General features: G+C 32.4%; 1 long non-coding RNA gene across 3 annotated transcripts in view, besides 1 other annotated feature; it reads right to left on the bottom strand.

Annotated features, from left to right (window-relative positions):
• Positions 1 to 3,800: 3,800 nt before the first annotated feature.
• Positions 3,801 to 17,218, bottom strand: part of LOC105379082 (uncharacterized) — a 135,090-nt gene continuing 121,672 nt past the window's right edge. For 2 of the 3 annotated variants that reach the window (NR_188297.1, NR_188296.1), the window contains one exon: positions 3,801 to 10,697. This is a non-coding gene — a long non-coding RNA (uncharacterized LOC105379082). The remainder of the gene's footprint in view (positions 10,698 to 17,218) is intronic. The other variant, NR_188298.1, reaches the window with a different exon arrangement.
• Positions 11,354 to 12,010: an enhancer, noted in NCBI's record as "OCT4-NANOG hESC enhancer chr5:91896397-91897053 (GRCh37/hg19 assembly coordinates)". NCBI's record gives its function as "activates a minimal SCP1, AML or CMV promoter by ChIP-STARR-seq in naive H9 embryonic stem cells {active_cell/tissue: H9 hESC(naive)}" and the evidence as "EXISTENCE:reporter gene assay evidence [ECO:0000049][PMID:30033119]".

Consider the following 17,218-nt stretch of genomic DNA (forward strand, 5'->3'; position numbering starts at 1 on the left):
AGAGAGCCAGATTTAAGAAAGACAAAAATCCTATAAAGACACCGAACTGTTCATTCCAAGAACATAGGTTTTGTGTGATTAAGGAATTTGACAGGGAGGAATACACAAAGATAACAGACTGAATCAAACCATACCAAGATCTCTGAATACATGTCAAGAAGTAAAACAAAATAGTTATCTTTTAAAAACCAGTTTTGGATCAGGTACTATTAGGGTCTTTTACGTATGTTCTTCCAGGTATTCCTCAAAATAAAACTGAATCTCATAGCGATTGATTGAATAGAGCCAGACAAGAGCACGTGGAAATCCCACTTGCCTTCGTGTGCACCTTGATGTGCAGCTACTGACACAGAAAAATAGGAAGTGCATTGTGGAAGAGTTAAAGGGGCGCAAAAAGTTTTATTCTGGGAAAAAATGCTAGTTACTAGAGTACAGTCTTAACTGACCAAGAAAAATGTATATTTTGTCACAATTTCCTTTATGTTTCCATTGGGACAAAGCTAGTCTAATATATGAGACTCTTGAATGGCCCTTATCTTTGATATAAGTGGAGAGTATTTGCAAAATGTAATTTCCTTGCAGCCCACTTCATTATATATACCTATTTTCATAACAAAGCCTGTGAAGAAAAATTGATGTTAAAATCAATGCATTCCTTGAATAATTGAGATTTTTAAAATGGATCTGTACAAAAAGCTATCCTTCAGAACAATGTCTCTCAAGTACTGTTTGCATGAATTTACACTGATTTTCCTTTGGAATTTATCTCACTTAAACTATTCATTTTTTTAATCATTCACAATATTTCAAAGCTACTTCTCTGTTTTTAAGCATTCTACTTTAATTTGAAAATAAAAAGAATGTAATAAAATTGAATGATTAAATTGCACTTCTGCTAAGCAGGATTATTTTCTTATATCTTATATCAGAATTTTATTAGGTAATTGTTTTTCATCAGTATGTTCTGCCTACATCCTAGTAGTTAGGAAAATTGGAAAAGCATTGCCAGATTTTCTTTGTACAGACGTAATCTTTACATTTCTTAAATTGTGCTTGACAATTTGAAGTGATGACAAAATTATACCTTTGGTTGTATATTTTTCTTATCATACTAATTTGAATCTAATAGAGGCAATATAGAATTTTTTCTTTTGTCATACATTATAATTTCTATAATTCTTTATAATATTGAAATTCTGTAGTTCAACTATTGCTTCCTAAAATACAACATATGCTCAAATCAAACAAGATTATTAATTTAAACACATAAATATTAGCTTTATTATTGTTCCGAACTTAGTTTCCTTTTGGGTTGTAAAATATAAGATGTGAAACTTATCTTTTAAAAATCAAGTGATCTTTGATTTTGCTACATCATCTACTCATGTGTTCTGGGCCTCAGTGGGGACCAGAAAGCTAAGGACTTAACATGTTTCTATGACAATTTTAGGAAGAAAAAATAGTATCATTTTACATCTCCACCTTCTCTTCATCAGAAAACAGACCTTGAGAATTATTGTAGATAGTCTTACACCATAAAGATAAATGCAATTTTGAGGAACACGTAACATGATTGCTAAGCAGTTGTGTGCATATATGTGTGTATATATATATATCCAATTTTGCACATTTAGTAATAGAATAACATATTTTTAAAATGAGGTCTGCCCTCAGTAATAAACTTTCTTATTTGTTAACAAATACTTTTAAGAATTCTCTAGAGAATTCTTGGATTGAGCCATAGTTACCAGAAGAATACTTCTGACAAAGACACTTAAGCAGATATAAGAGAGCGCAAAGGGAAGGCAGAGAGATGTTTCAACGCTGTCATTTTAAAACTTCAAAAAGCATCTCCACATCAGAAGCGACTTCACAGATCCCGAGTCTCTACATTTCTGAGATATTGTTTGGTTTCATTTTTTTTTCTCTCCAGGTTCCAGGTTCCATAATCTTTTTAAGAGGTATAGGATTTGGGAAACATAGTATGGAGCATGAAATTTCTCTCTCTCTCTCTGTTTCTCTCTCTCTATATATATATGTATATATAAATATATACATATATATTTTTAAATTATCAGATTAGTGATTAAGACAGATATTAGAAGAGAAACAACAAAACTGTTATTTTTCTTTCACCATTCATAGAATTACTGGTACTTCTATATTAAGAAACAAAATAAAAGCAATCATTTAAACATAAGAAGTAGTATGATAGATATATTTTTGATAAAAATCAAGTAAATATTTGTCTCTAAATTCAAACTACCCACAGTGCAATCAGTAAGTATTAGAAAACAGGTAAAGACTTGTTTTATGTGCTCTGGCTATATGTCAGACACAGAAGAAACAAGTAGAGCTGATAACCCCTAACTTTTAAGGTCTATTCTAGACGTAAAGATGCAGTGTAGTTCCAAAATTATAGTTAAAAAATATATATATACAAATAATAAATCATCCACAGTAAATGTTGGAAACAGAAAAAAACAGGCAATATGTACAAATATATAACTTCTCTAATATGAATATTAAAAAGAATTTATAAATAATAGAAGCATGCTGATTGTTTTATAATATTTTCAAATTCAAATTAAGAAAAAGATAATGAAGCTGTATTCAAGAATATTAGAAGTATTGTGAATATATATAGGACTGAAAATGATTTTGTATAACAGCAAAAAGCAAAATTGAATGGCATTCTATTTAAAATGCTTTCTTTTTTATATTTAAATGTATTATTTTAGAGAAAATTCATCATTTAATAGGTGGCTAGCAAACTGTTTCAAAAAGCAAGATAATTTACAATTGAGTATAGTATATCAGCATTTCCATATTTTGCATCATCTTGATTTAATATTTCTGGTGCTTCAGCAACGCTAGTGCCCATTCTTGGTAACCACATCACCACAGAAATGTAATATATGTGTTCCGTATCGTTTCCTGCATTATGTGTGTGGGTTGTGGTTGTTGCTTAAGTTCCCATGACTATTGAGTGAGGAAGTTGGGTATAATTCCTGGCAGCATAGTAGTTTATCCATTACACTAAAGAGCAGATCGTATTTCAAAATGTTTTTCTGAGATCATTACAGCAACAAATGGCAGGGTTATCAGCCTTATTACCAATTGCCCAGAAAATGTGGGGAAAAAAAGCCACTAAAAATAGCCACAGGAAGCAATAATTTCTATGACAAAATGTTCGGCTGTTTACTTAGTACGCTAAGTAATATATTTTTGATCAAAGATAAACAGTTTAAAAAGTTACATTTGTGTTGTGGGGAGGCAAGGCTGAGGGAAGGAGGAAATTGCTGTTCCCTAAAGGCTGATGTACCTTGTAAAATAATCTGTCTTCAAACTCAGAATGAAAGGGAGCCAAAAACAGCTTTGAATTACATGAAGACCCTGGAGAGGCTGTTCATTACACAATTTGCTGTAGTGGTTTGCAGATGTCTCATTTTGTGAGTCAGATTATGCACTTTATTTTTTGTTGTTTAAGTTATGTTGTATAGCGTTGGTTATAAATTCTTTCCTGATTTGTCACAATTTCTCTGTAAACAGCACAATGTCTACTTTGAACAAACTGATACATTGTACCCCTGCTGTTTCAAAACTGTGACTGATGAAAGAGCTGTACTCTGGCTCTGAAGCAAGTAAGGTACTTAGTAGAAAATGGCCCTTTTATATAGTGCATCCAACTATAACATCAGAAGGCTGGACTTGTAACCACTTTATAGAGAAAGTACCCAAGAGTACATGGTGAGGTGATCAGCAAAATGCCAACTCTGAACAGCAATGAGGCAGTGATGTCAAATGACCCGTTTTGGCACATTTTATTTTAAGGATGTAATCCTGTAGCACATACATAGTCCTTGCTAAAGTTAATAAAACTTCCATTATAAGCTAAGAAGTCTTACTAAAAAAATACTTATTCATAGATTTGTTCTAAAGTTGGGTTCCTGGTTTTAACTGAGGTCATATTCAGGCAATAAAGACTCTAACAAGAAAAAACCTTTTTTCCTTAATTTGGGAAAAAAATGTCATTATGCCTTGGGAAGTATTATAATATTGTTGTAATCATCTGCAATCCTCATTAGTCTTCTTATTATATCTGAAGCACTTGTATTTGTTGAAGTAGAAGCAGCTGAGATAAAAGAAATTTGAAAGTGAAATCATTACACATTTGAGTCAGTGCCTTTTTCAAACTGGAAGCCTGCTCTATTACTCTTAATGAGCTGATGCCCCAAATACTGAAAATGGATTCATATTTCTTAACCTCTTTTGAACCTCTAGTTAAAAACTGTGGTGTGAATTCAAAAGGAAAAAAGAATGTCAATGGTGTTTTTAAACTATTCATTTGGGGAACTATTAGTCAACCTTTACAAACTACTTGATAGTAATATTTAGCCAAGTCTAAAATTAATGTTTTTATCGATTAGAATACTAAAAGAAACCTATTTTAGTAGTTATTTTATATTTTTAAGGATCGATTATATGTCATATAATTCATAAACAACAGTTAATAGATACTTAAAATTTAAGAAAATATTTACATGTTAAAATTAAATATTAATAACAATATATGGATAAAAGCATATAGAACTAAATATACATGCACACAAATGAGTAAAAATAAAACTGAAAAAGCTGGATAAAATTGATATCAAAGTCAATATCCTAGGCTAATGTTATACTATAGTTTACCTTTAGCAGAAACTAGGTAAAGTATACACAGTATCTCTTTATTATTTCTTTCAACTGCATGTGAATATAAAATTATCTCAATACAATTTTCATCTAAAAATTAAATGTTACATAATTACAATTTGATCTATCTATAGCCTCTAAATTTACAAAAGGAATAGGCATTTTTAAATAACTGCTCTAGATATTTAATCGATAATAAATACCTAGTAAGAGGAGATACCCTAAATTTAGCATATTAGAAGTCAAGTACACATATAGTATGAGATTTTATAGGTTAATAAAATATAATGTTAATTTAGAAGAAAGGGAAGTGTTTCAATATTTGAAAAGAGCAAATTTCTAATTCCCAGGTATTGTGCATTTTCACTGCATCTAGTGAAATCACTGTTATAAACCACTCAAAGCAACATCACTGGTGTTGATTTTATTTGAAGATAATATAATCCAGTTTTATATTGTACTTTGTAAATCAAAAGCAACATGGGACAGGGAATGTTTGCAGTACAGATCTAAGTTGGAGGAAGACATCACTTTTAATTAAGAAGCACTAAAGTGATATATAGTTCTATAGGAAAAGTGCCAGATCAGAAGAAGTGAAAACACTTAGGTTTTAATAGTTTCCTTTTGGTGACTCTAACTATGCTAATTTGTCTTTGATAAATTGTGACAAGGACTGTCAACTTAAATGGTCAACATACTCATTAAAATTAAGCAATAACATTTCTATAGTAATAATCTTAGATATGTTTAAGACTTAGCCCTTTTTCTGGAAGTTAGAGTCTAATAATCTCTGCTTAGTCCCCCAGGGAGTGGGGTGAGGGGAGGGTGGTGGCGGCATTCAAGTTCTGGCAGCATGTGAAACAACAGGCAACCCTCAGGAATTTCAGGGCCACACAATCTACTTGAGTTACATGATACACTTGTGATTAACACTAATTCATTTAATGTGCTCAAGTATCTATGTACCCAGTTAGAAGATTCAGATCCTATAATATTCCTAGGTATTTTGTATTTCATCACTTTATTACTATTTTAATGTTGACACAAGGACCCAAGATCCAATCTTCATGATAAAGACAAAATTTCTTATTAACAGCTAAGGTGAATCCACAAGTTGACATTCTAATACAGTGTCAGAAGACGGAACCAAGGGATTGCCTTGGGTGGGCATCAACATTGAATCACTGCAGTTGGAAATAACAATCAGTTTTGTTTTTATGATTTCGCATTGATGTTTACTTATATTTAAGCTCCTTTAGAGATTTCAAATGACCAGACCACCAAGCCTGGCTGCATTTTCCTTGAAAACTATTAAGAAAAAATATATAGAGATCAGGAAGACTTTGTTGATTCTTTGCAATTTGCATGTGCACTATACGAAAACTAGGAGAAATCTGAAAAAAAAATCAGATATCCATATGTTATTTAATACCTCATATCCAGATGTTTTGGAGGTCTGGTGTTATAAGGTTTATAGCTTTAAGACTGCATATATTTTCAGAAGTCAAATAAAATATTGCATTTTATTTATTCATTTGTTTCTCATTTTGATTTGTTTCTACTATCTTTTAGAATTACCAAGAAATTTTATGGAAATCATCATTTTGAAGTCAGGTAATAAGCAGAAAAATAAAGAACTGCAATATTATCTATCTTCTTAAGTGTATATTTAGCATTCTCTTGTTCAGTTATCCAGATGATTAAATTTATTTCTTGAAAAGCAAATCACATATCAAATTTGGCCTTACTTTTTGGCACATATGATGGTAATGTGGATTAAATGTTATGAAAACAGCTAAATTTAATTAAAAATATACTTTAGAACTAAAAAACTAAAAATCTCAGGTTAAAATTTTTTCATAATCTGTGTAAATCTGAAAATACGAGTAAAATTATTGAATTGTATTGAAATGAAGGTAGGAAAAATAAATTTTATAAAATGTTTACATATATTTATAAACTATGTATGTTTCCTTTATTACTAGTTTAAATGTCCTTACTCATAAACAGAAGATCTAAATATGGGAAATAATCAAATTCCATCATGTTTAATATTTTTCTTTCTCCAGTCATATAAACATTGATTCATGACTTATTTTCATATTTTGTTGCTCAAAAGCTATAGTTGACAGGGTAGGACATTTGAATATGTTCTGGGTAGCAATTTTGTTACCTTAATTTATAATTGTAAATATTTAGAGACATGAACTCCATTTGTCTTCCTGCCCCAGGCAGGCTACTGTTAGGTGAGACTATACAGATCTTTTTTTTTTAAGTCATATTATCATTATCTGATATAGTTTGGATGTGTGTCCCTGCCCCAATCTCATATTGAATTGTCTAACTGTAATCCTCAATGTTGGAGGTTGGGCCTGGTGAGAGGTGACTGGGTCATGGGTTGGAGTCTCATGAATGGTTTAGCACCATCCCCTTGCTGCTGTTCTCATGATAGTGAGTGAGTTACGGGAGATCTGGTTGTGTAAAAGTGTGCAGCACTTCGCTGCTGGCTCTCGCTTGCTCCTGCTTTCAGCATGTGCCTGTTCCCCCTTTGCCTTCTGCCATGACTAGAAGCTTCCTGTGGTCTCCCCAGAAGCAGATGCCACTATGCTTCCTGTACAGCCTGAAGAACTGTGAGCCAATTAACCCTTTTTTCTTATAAATTGCCCAGCCTCAAGTATTTCTTTATGGCAATGCAAAAACAGAGTAATCTTTTCTTCAAGATCCTTCCTCACAACTAAGAAGTTGACCCTGCCTTTTCTTTCTTCCATGTATATGGGTTTTCTTTACAGTGCCCTCTAAATTTCAATGATTGGTTTATACTTCACTCTTCCTGGCTAAACTGTATTTAGATTTTAAAAATCACTCTGCTTTACTTAGTATTAGAACTCTAATGCTCTATAGCAGTCATGTACCTGGAACCTAGTAGTTGCTCATGAAAATGTATGTTCAGTTTTATGTTGAATTTGTGTTACTGAAAACCATCTATCAGAGTATGGATTACACTTTAGGTCAGGGGTGTCCAATCTTTTGGCTTCCCTGGGTCACATTGGAAGAAGAATTGTCTTGGGTCACACATAAAATACACTAACAACAGCCGATGAGCAAAAAGAAAAATAATCGCAAATAAACCCTCATAATCTTTTAAGAAAGTTTACAAATTTGTGTTGGGTCACATTCAAAGCCATGCTGGGCCGCATGCAGCCCACAGGCCGCAGGTTGGACAAGCTTGCTTTAGATATTCACTTAGCACATGTTAATGATGGAGTAAATAAAATTGATCTTCCAACTTGCAATTTTCTAGCATCCTCATGAAATTAAAATTCCATTTCGCTTACCAATACCTGTCTCTATTATCTAAAAACTATCCATCAGAGGGTAACTAATTAATGCACTAATTTTTCTCTGCTGAGGCATTGGCACTGACGTTTTAGTAATGCCATGTACTTTTCCCATTTGTAATTTGTAAAATATTCTCTTATGATCACCATGTATTTTGTAAATAATAAAATAGTATTTGATTATATACATAATCAATGATAATAATGATTTATATATATATAGTATCATATATACGTCATTTAACAAACCATTGTTATGGTTTAAATTATGTTGCCCAAAAAGTTGTTGAAGTGCTTTCTCTCAGTAAATGTGACCTTAATTGGATATGGTATCCTAGCAGATGAAATCATTTGGGTGGTCCCTAATCAATACGACTGAGTCTTTATAAAAAGGGGAAATTTAGACACAGACATAGACACACACACAGGGAGAATCCTATGTGAGCATGAAGGAAGATACCAGAAAATGCATCTATAATCCAAAAAATGCCAAAATTTCCAGAAAACTACCAGAAATTAGGAAATGGGCATAAACAGATTATCCCTCACATCCCTCAGCAGAAACCAACCTTGCTGACACTTTGATGGTGCATGTCTAGCCTCTAGAACTATGAGAACGTTAATTTCTGCTGTTTAAGCCATCCAGTTTTTGGTGAGCTTTGTAGCGTTTTCATAGAGCTTTGTTACACCAGCTCTACAAAACTAATACACCCATAAATATTGCTAAAGATAAATATTCTCAGAGCCGCCTATCATTTGGACAATATATCAACAACTAGAATGACTGACGTGTGAATAGTATCTTTTGAAAGAAATCCTAAAATTCACCTTCATTGAGAACTTTCAAAGAGAAGAGAAAAGTCCAATTTGGGGTGCAGTCCTATGCAAAAGCAGCCACCCTAGTGGGGATGACGCCAGGTGGGTTTTTATGATTGGCTTAAACATAGATTGGGATGGCACGAAATAAAGGCAGAGAAAAGGGGATAGAAGATCCTAAACCCTCTAATTATGTTCTTTCATCCTCCCTCACTACGCACCATTTGCTTTTTTATAATGTGATACCTGCCAGAGAGATCATATGGGCAAAGTATTTCTGCTTCTAAATTAGCCCAAAAGTTAAAAAAAAAAAAAGATTCCGGGTTTGCTTTCCTGTGAAGGTATAAGATAAAATGTAAAGAACAAGCACAGTGATGATAGAAAGGTTGGACTCAGATTTTATATTTTTACAAAAGGAATTTTTAAAACACATATTGTACGTGAAGAGATGTAGCAGGGTACTAATAGCGTAGGCCTTTTAAAAATCAATAATTGGTGTTAGTAATAAGAGATGTGCTGACAACCAGCTGTGAAAGTGGCCTCATTCCTGCAGTGCAGGAGGGAAAGAAACCAGCCGGTGATTACTAACTCCAAATATTGCTTGCAGTGAAAGCTTCATTAAAAAAAATTAGTAAAATACCCCTTTTACCTTAAAATATGTGTCCCCATATTGAAAGAGGATCTATATAAAGAGTTCAGAAAAGAACTGCTGCAAACTGTTCAAATCAAGAGTATTTCCCAGTTGGGCCACCGGCCTACATTGTGGAACTTACTCTTTAGTAAAAAGCTCTTCTCCTCCCAATTAAAGAAAAAAAGGTTGGGATGCCCACAGGTCCTTGCAGCATGTTTAGCGTGACTTTTAACCCCTCATTTCACCTTCTGTATATGGCTCTTCTTTATACCACCACCTGATACAGCCACAGAATCTAGTCTCCACTGCAAATTAGGCTGTTAGCATCTCTTTCACAATTTTTAAAAGTCAGTGTCGAAATTCACTGTTGGCCCTTGCTGGTCTTCTATGCATGCTGCCTGTGAAAATCCAGCCATTTATTTTTATTCAAATCAAAGGGAGGCATTTTTGTTATTAAATAAGTTACTCAAAAACAAACAGCAACAGAGTCCACTTCTTACCAGCATATTCCTGCAAGCCTGATATTCTACATGAATTATCTTAATGAGGAAATATATCCAAGCACTGAATAAGGAATCTTAGATTTCCAGCTTTGACTTTTAGCTACAGCTCACTCACACACAACCTTACAGAATCCCTTAAATCTCCAAGAGCCCATTTCTCATTTTCCTCTGTGCTCCCATGGAGCTGATCCAATGGTTTTTAAGGGAGCTCTGAGCTTGGACAAGCTCTGAAGGGCATGGGGCAAGACAAGAAACGGGCCCTGCGCTCCCTGCTTATCGTCTTGGAAAATAGGTATGATAATATCAGCCTCACCAGGGTCCCATTGCAATTAATGTTTGGAAAATGTTTTGAAATCCCAGAGTTAAGAAAGGCAATACCAGCGTCAATTATTTAAGGGTCTTATTTCTAAAGCACTATTCAAATTGTTTTAAGCCACTTTTTCTAAAAATATATGATACAAAGGCAATTATACTACCTGCAAGCATAAATTGATGTGGTGGTTTTATGGTCTTTTGAAAATTGCCTTAGTAGAATATCTCTGTGACCTGGAACATCTAGTTAAATGAGGAATCTGAGTTTTGTAGACTCGCCCAAACACTTAAACGCCAAAGAGATGAATCTATGGGAAGGGTGCTTTTCTTTGTTGATCTTGATTGCAGTTTCTGCACTTTCCAGAAGGTGATGTTGCTTTGCTTGGCTTCGTTTCAGATCTGAGGAGGGAAGCCAAACAAACAGTGGAAAATGAAGGATGAATAAAAAAAGAAAAGAAAAGAACCTTGGCTTAGGAAAGAGAAAACTTTTACAACCAAAGGCATTACAGAAGGTCTTTGAGTTTCAATAACTTTGTAATCTTCATATCCAACCAATTTTTGCTGTATGAGTATTTCTGAGTCGAACATCCTGGAATTAAAGATAGATTCCAAAGTATTTCTAAACAATGTGTAAAACTGGCATTATTAGAAGTCTTTGAGTATATAGACAAGACGGAAAGTTTAAAATAGGGAAACTAAATTGAGAACAAAGATGTTTCTAAAGATAAATCTATTGCTTGAATTTATTATATAACAACATTTTTTAACTACACAGGTTTGCATTTTACTTGGTACAAATATATCGTTGAAGAGTTCACTTACACATCCAAGCTATTACATACAACTGGGAATGGATGCTCAATGCTGTGTACAAGGTAAAATAGGTCTTTAAAAATATGTATATCCGTTAATGCTAAGCTATATATTTTTCAGGTGTCCTTGTAACTTAGTGTTCTTTTTCTTTTTGCTTTATTTGCAGTTTATTTAATATTTGAAAATACTTTTGTATCAATTAGCAAATTAGCAATTTATCTGGGCGGAAAAACCCCATCTTAGTTACTGAGTTACAAAGTGAATTGTTCTGCAGCTGCAAAATCAAGTGCCTCAGCTGAGTTAATGCTTTTCATTTCTTTTGCATGTGTCAGCATTAATGGAGGCAAGCTTCTATGAAGCCTTGCGTGTGAAGATGGTGCTGAGCAGACTAGATTCAATTCTGTTATATTCAATTCTGTTAAATGCTTTTTGCATTTTTTTTTTTTTTTTTTTTGGAATAAGGCACAAAAGGAGACTTCAGGCTGAACTTCAAGCAAAAGTTAATGCTATTCTCTTTTGGGTTCAACCACCCACTTTGCTTAAGGTCACTAGTTGAGGCTAATGCAGCTCAGAGGGGCTGCAGTAAACTTGGCATCTCCTTGATTAGGCTCCCTGCTGATCTAATACACATACTAGTTCACTTGCCAAGTCAAATAACACATTTAGTGAATTGGAAATAAGATTTAAGTGGGCCAGCACAATGCGGCTTGCCCTCTCATCTTTTTACCGAATCCTTCTCTTTGTATGCAAGGCTGTGAAAACTGCTCTTGTTAGAGGACTTAATCTTCATTTTTTTCCTGTAGATTATTTGGAAACAGGTCAATTGAATGTTGGAGCTGCTAACTCCTCCCACTAAAGAAAGAACCCGCTTGTGGCATACTGATTGCATCATTTAAATGAAAAGCTCCTATTATTAAAGATAAAATACTACAATATAAGGGTTTGTTAGAATTAATTTAAAAATCCTGATATTAAATGCAGTACTTTTTTAACAGTGTGTTTATTTCTTTGTCTTATAGATTCTTTTCTAAAGCATGCTTTGTATTAACTACTGGTGAGTAATAGGAGGGGATGATCATATCAGTATATATTCATCTCCTGTGGCTATTCTGCTGCAGTTAATTCTTAAATACAGTAGGTTATAATAGGGTGACATTTCTATAGTGCCTTTCATAAGAGCAATCTAAAGCATGTCATATAATGTTTGACTTTGAACTATTCAGTTTCTTAGTGACACAAATCTCAGGGTAAATTTATGCCTTCATGGTTTGTTTCCTTAAAAAATATGAGTCATTGTATTTGTTATAGTTTGAAATTTATCATAGATTCACCATAGATTATCAAGTTATCCATGCCATAATAATCTGTAACTGTCCTTATCTGTGTGTTAGATGTGCAGGGTTATGATGTGTGTGGACTTTTTACGATCTACTTATCTCTTCTGGTCATATAGATTTATGTGTATCTCTTTTCTGACTAAATCTGAAATCAGAGCTTGCATTCTGAAGAAACAAAACATATCTATGTAAAATCCAAGTACTATTCCCTGACATCTAAAAGTTAGAGAAAAATGATTATAATACCCTCCACCAAAATAAGGAGGTACTCAATTTCAATTGCATTTTTTACAAAATAAAATGTTAAATGTGTGAAATGTATAATGTACCCTGAGATTAAGCTAAGTATCCCCAGAATGATTTTTAGAGTTACAATAAATAGACTATTTCAAGGGACAGTGTTTGATTATCTAAAATTTACATATTTGCAACAGTTGTTTCTGAGTGGAAAGGATTTATTTACTTAGCCAAAGCAAATAGCTTTTCTATGAAATGTGAAATAGGTTATACTGTTTATACTGTGTTTAGTCATTACATTTCATTCCTCAAAATGAGTACCAGATCTCTGTACTGTGTAATGAATATCCTCACAGTTTGTAAAACAATGTTAGTAATAATAATAAAGAATTGATCAATTTAATATTCTAATCTGGACTTCAATTTGAGGTTGTTGTTCTATCCAAAAGCACTTTGTAAATTCTAGAGAACTACACAAATGTGAGATCATTGCTATATTTTTCATCTCCTCTACTATATTTTACCTGTTTCTTTTACTTGTTTTGGACACCAGTAATGTTAAAACTCATCTCTAATAGGAAAAAGCAGAAAAATTGAAAAGATTACAAATGGTAAAATTATGATTAAACATAAAATTATTATGAAAAATGGCAGACTCCTACAATAGTCTGAGTTTTGTTTTTTGTATTGGTAAGAATTACACTTTTTTTTTGTTTTTTTGTTTTGTTTTATTTTGTTTTGGATGCCTTAGCTACAGATAGATGGCATCTAACCTCAAGGTAAGATTTTACTGCAGGAAGGCATTTTTACCTCATTACAGTTTGTCAGTAGAGAAAATATTTGTGGCATATTGATGTTCTACTGGTTAGAAAATATGTTTCCCCAAGCTCATGATTTTTATTCTGTGTTCTTGTAACTACTTAGAGCAACTTTGGGACATTAAGACATCAGTAACAAACACAAATATGTGATTACTGGCTTCAAAGTACGTGTAACAACTACCCTTTTTGAATATCTTTATATCTTCTGTTAATGTTCAGAGATGTTCAAAAGGTACATGACATTTTACACCTGTACAATAAGAATGTTTGGAAGAAATAATTGTGAATGAAAAAATTATTTAAGAGAGAATTTTATGTTTTGGGAAGAAATGACAATTAGTATTTTAGCCATTTCTTTCTCACTAACAAATGTATGCCAAAATACCACCTGTTTAATTCTTAGCATCCAAGCAAAACTATTTTTATTAGCTATATTAGACATATTTTTCCCTTCAGTTTCTTAAGTTTTTTGAGGTAATTATCATAATGTAAGTACAAATAAAAACATAATGTTATGATAAACTTAGGGGATAAAATTATATCTTAAAATTTTATTTACATTTGTTGCCATTTCAGACAAACAACTGAAAACTTACCCTTCCTTTTAAATTAATAAACTTGGAGCAATATTAAACCTAAATTTAATTCCTCACAGTCTCTTCCTTTTTTCCATTCCCAAAGAACCACTCTCTTGGTCCTAGATTGGAAAGGGGTATTTCAGTCTTATATAGCTGTATAACTTTTTATTCTCCCCAGGGGCAAAGAATAAAGTCATATTTCATAATTATATATATATATATATATGGTATTGTGTACAAGGGAATATCAGGAGATGGTATGTGACCTACATGTTCCTACAAAGAGCATGACCCAATAAGAGTACACATATTTTTAAATGATTATGTGTTTCTAGTAGCAAAAGAGCCAGAACCTAGAATTGCAATCTCTCAATTGCAAATTCATAAGAGCAATTGAGAATTCCCTGCTACTATTCCCACCCTTAACCAGCTAGTATATGCAAGCATTACAAGAAATTGCTAAAGACAGTGCTGTACAATATATGCAGGTAACTAGTAAAAATAGTAGCCCCCTACCAAACATCAATACAGTTACTAACAATCTAGAAGAAAATGTGCTATTAAAAATAGGTACTGAATCATAGGGTTAATTATTGTTTAAGTATTCTAGCTATGATAATATAATTCATTCAATTTACATAAAGTGAAAAGTGATAATGGTAAAATTCTTATGTCTGGAATAACTTTACAGCTCTATAACTCTTTTGATGACCTTGAAAGTTATATAGAATAAAAATGTATGCAAAAACACTTTAAAGTAATTCTTTTATCTTACCATTAAGTTGGTAATACAGCATGTATTTTGATAAATATAAAATTCCTTTTTCACATTTAACTGACGATCTATTGTACTCCAATTTGGCAAATGGGCATTTTGTTAAGTAAGGAAATGTTTTATTTTTATTGTAAAGATTTGCTTTTATTTCAAATACATGAGTGAGTGACAAACTTTAGAGTCTAATAACAAAAAACAGCAGGTAAGAAATAAAGAATTTTTTAAAGAAATAGATTAAAATTTATTTATAAAGATTGAAAAAAGTTAAATACTGTTTCAAACTTGACTTTCATTTTATTAACTTCTGTGAATACTATTATGATTTAGACACTAAAGTTTTTCTCACATTAAGTTATTCAAGTAAATATGTCTAGAGCAAAAACTGCTTGACTGCAGTGAGCAGGTCTTATTTATTTATTTATTTTTAATCTACACTCATCTATAGTAAGTGTCTAGTCTCTAGTAGATCTTCAATAAGTACCGTTGATAGGATGGAATAAAAGTGCCCTAATTAGATACATGCAGTTTGCTTTAAAACTGTTTACAATTATACACCTGGAAGAAGAAGCACAAAGATAATTGAACTGAACCTTATGCTTGGAAATAAAAGCCCACCAAATAATCAGATTGGTTAAAGAAATTGCTTATAGTCATCTTAGTTTAAAATAAAAAAAAATCTTTTTCACTAATAATTATTAAAATAGATTGAATATATTTTTACCAAAATCATTGCATTTTTTTAGGTACACATGGAAAACTTCTGTCCAAAAAGTTTTGCCTCTTTGAGAAGTAAAATTATTTCTTAAAACCCAGAGCTGAGAAATACACATCATGTGTAAAGAGTATTAAATAAAAATAAGAACCCACAAACAATATTCTGTGCAGCAAATAATCATTTTTTTGTCTACTTCTATAACAGAGAACTCCTGAAAGTTCTCTCTTTTCAGGAGAACCCAGGGTGTTTATTTATCAAGCCTTCTAAGAAAGGAAGTCACAGGGATGTTGTGTTTCTGTTTCAGAATATCAGAATAGAAAATTAAGTATGCTTCTTTTTGCATTCAGTTACACTTCTGAAATGAACCTTGACACCTAAAAATGTTCTAACTACTCAGAAATCAGTTTGAAGTGCACATCTCCCATCACTCCCAAGATCCAATTTTACTATCAACTATTTTATGGAAGACGATGCCAAAAATCTTTATTAAATTGATAGGTCTACTTTAAGACAAACTATATACCACATTCATTTTTTCTCAAACAGCACAACTGGCTAAAACATGGTAATAGTTAAAATGAATATGGCATAGACAGCAATAGAATTATAATTCTTTCTATGCAAAGGAATGACCTTCTTTACTCAGTAATGGAAATATTTTATGGGATAACCCTTTACCCTATTATAAATACACTTCTTTCTTTCCTCCCTCTCCATCTATTCATATATGGGTAGTACACATGTTATACACAATATGAACTCTTTTCAATTTATAACACTGTAAACATGTTCCTGCATTTCTTATTATCTGAGTTGATGGACTAATTAGAAACAGTCAAGGTTATATCTCGGTGTGCCAATAAAAAATGTTTCTAATTGGCGCTGAGACTGAAGATAATTCAATTACAAATCTTTTCCATTTGATTCATTCTTTTCTTCCTTAGAAAGGATTATGTTGATGGGATTCAGGTAATGGAACTTGGTGGCTTAGGAGAAGCATTAAAACATCCTTCCAGCTTTCAACTAATGTGATTAAGTTTTATGAAGTTTGTTTTTCTTCTTAAAATCTTACTGAGGTCGAGTGCTCATGTGATTCCCTTAGAGCAGGGTTGAGAAGTTGGGTGAGTTGAAGAGGTGTTACTAATCTCTTAATATGTGCCCATTAAAGTTCTAAAAAGATTGAACTACTCATTTCCCCATATCACAATTCCTAAGTTTATAAATAAAAACACATAGCTCTTCTCAATTAAGTCTTCCTTACAGACCTTGGACTGAAACACTTCTGTATAATACCCACAGAGTACACGTGTAGGGTGGTTAATGAGCAAAAGTTGATTTAAAAAAAAAAAACTTAGTTTAAGTTAAAATAATCTTTGTGTTGTCAATAACCTAAACTTTTTATCTAGTTATTTACTGAGCCCACAAAAATAAAACGTGTTATTTTCTCTTTCTTCTAAAGAAAGGCAAGCAGCAAATACTTAACATTATATTTAATTTCACACTGGCATTTAAATTAGACAAAGATAGTAAGCAATCTACAGTGTCCAGTGTTTTCATTTGTGTGTGCAAAGAGCTTGAATTGCATGGTATCTTCTTTCCCCTTGAAAGATGAAAAAACAATGTATTAGGTTACAACTGGAACAT

Source organism: Homo sapiens, chromosome 5 (genome assembly GCF_000001405.40).
Source record: "Homo sapiens chromosome 5, GRCh38.p14 Primary Assembly".
NCBI classification, from domain to species: Eukaryota; Metazoa; Chordata; class Mammalia; order Primates; family Hominidae; genus Homo; species Homo sapiens.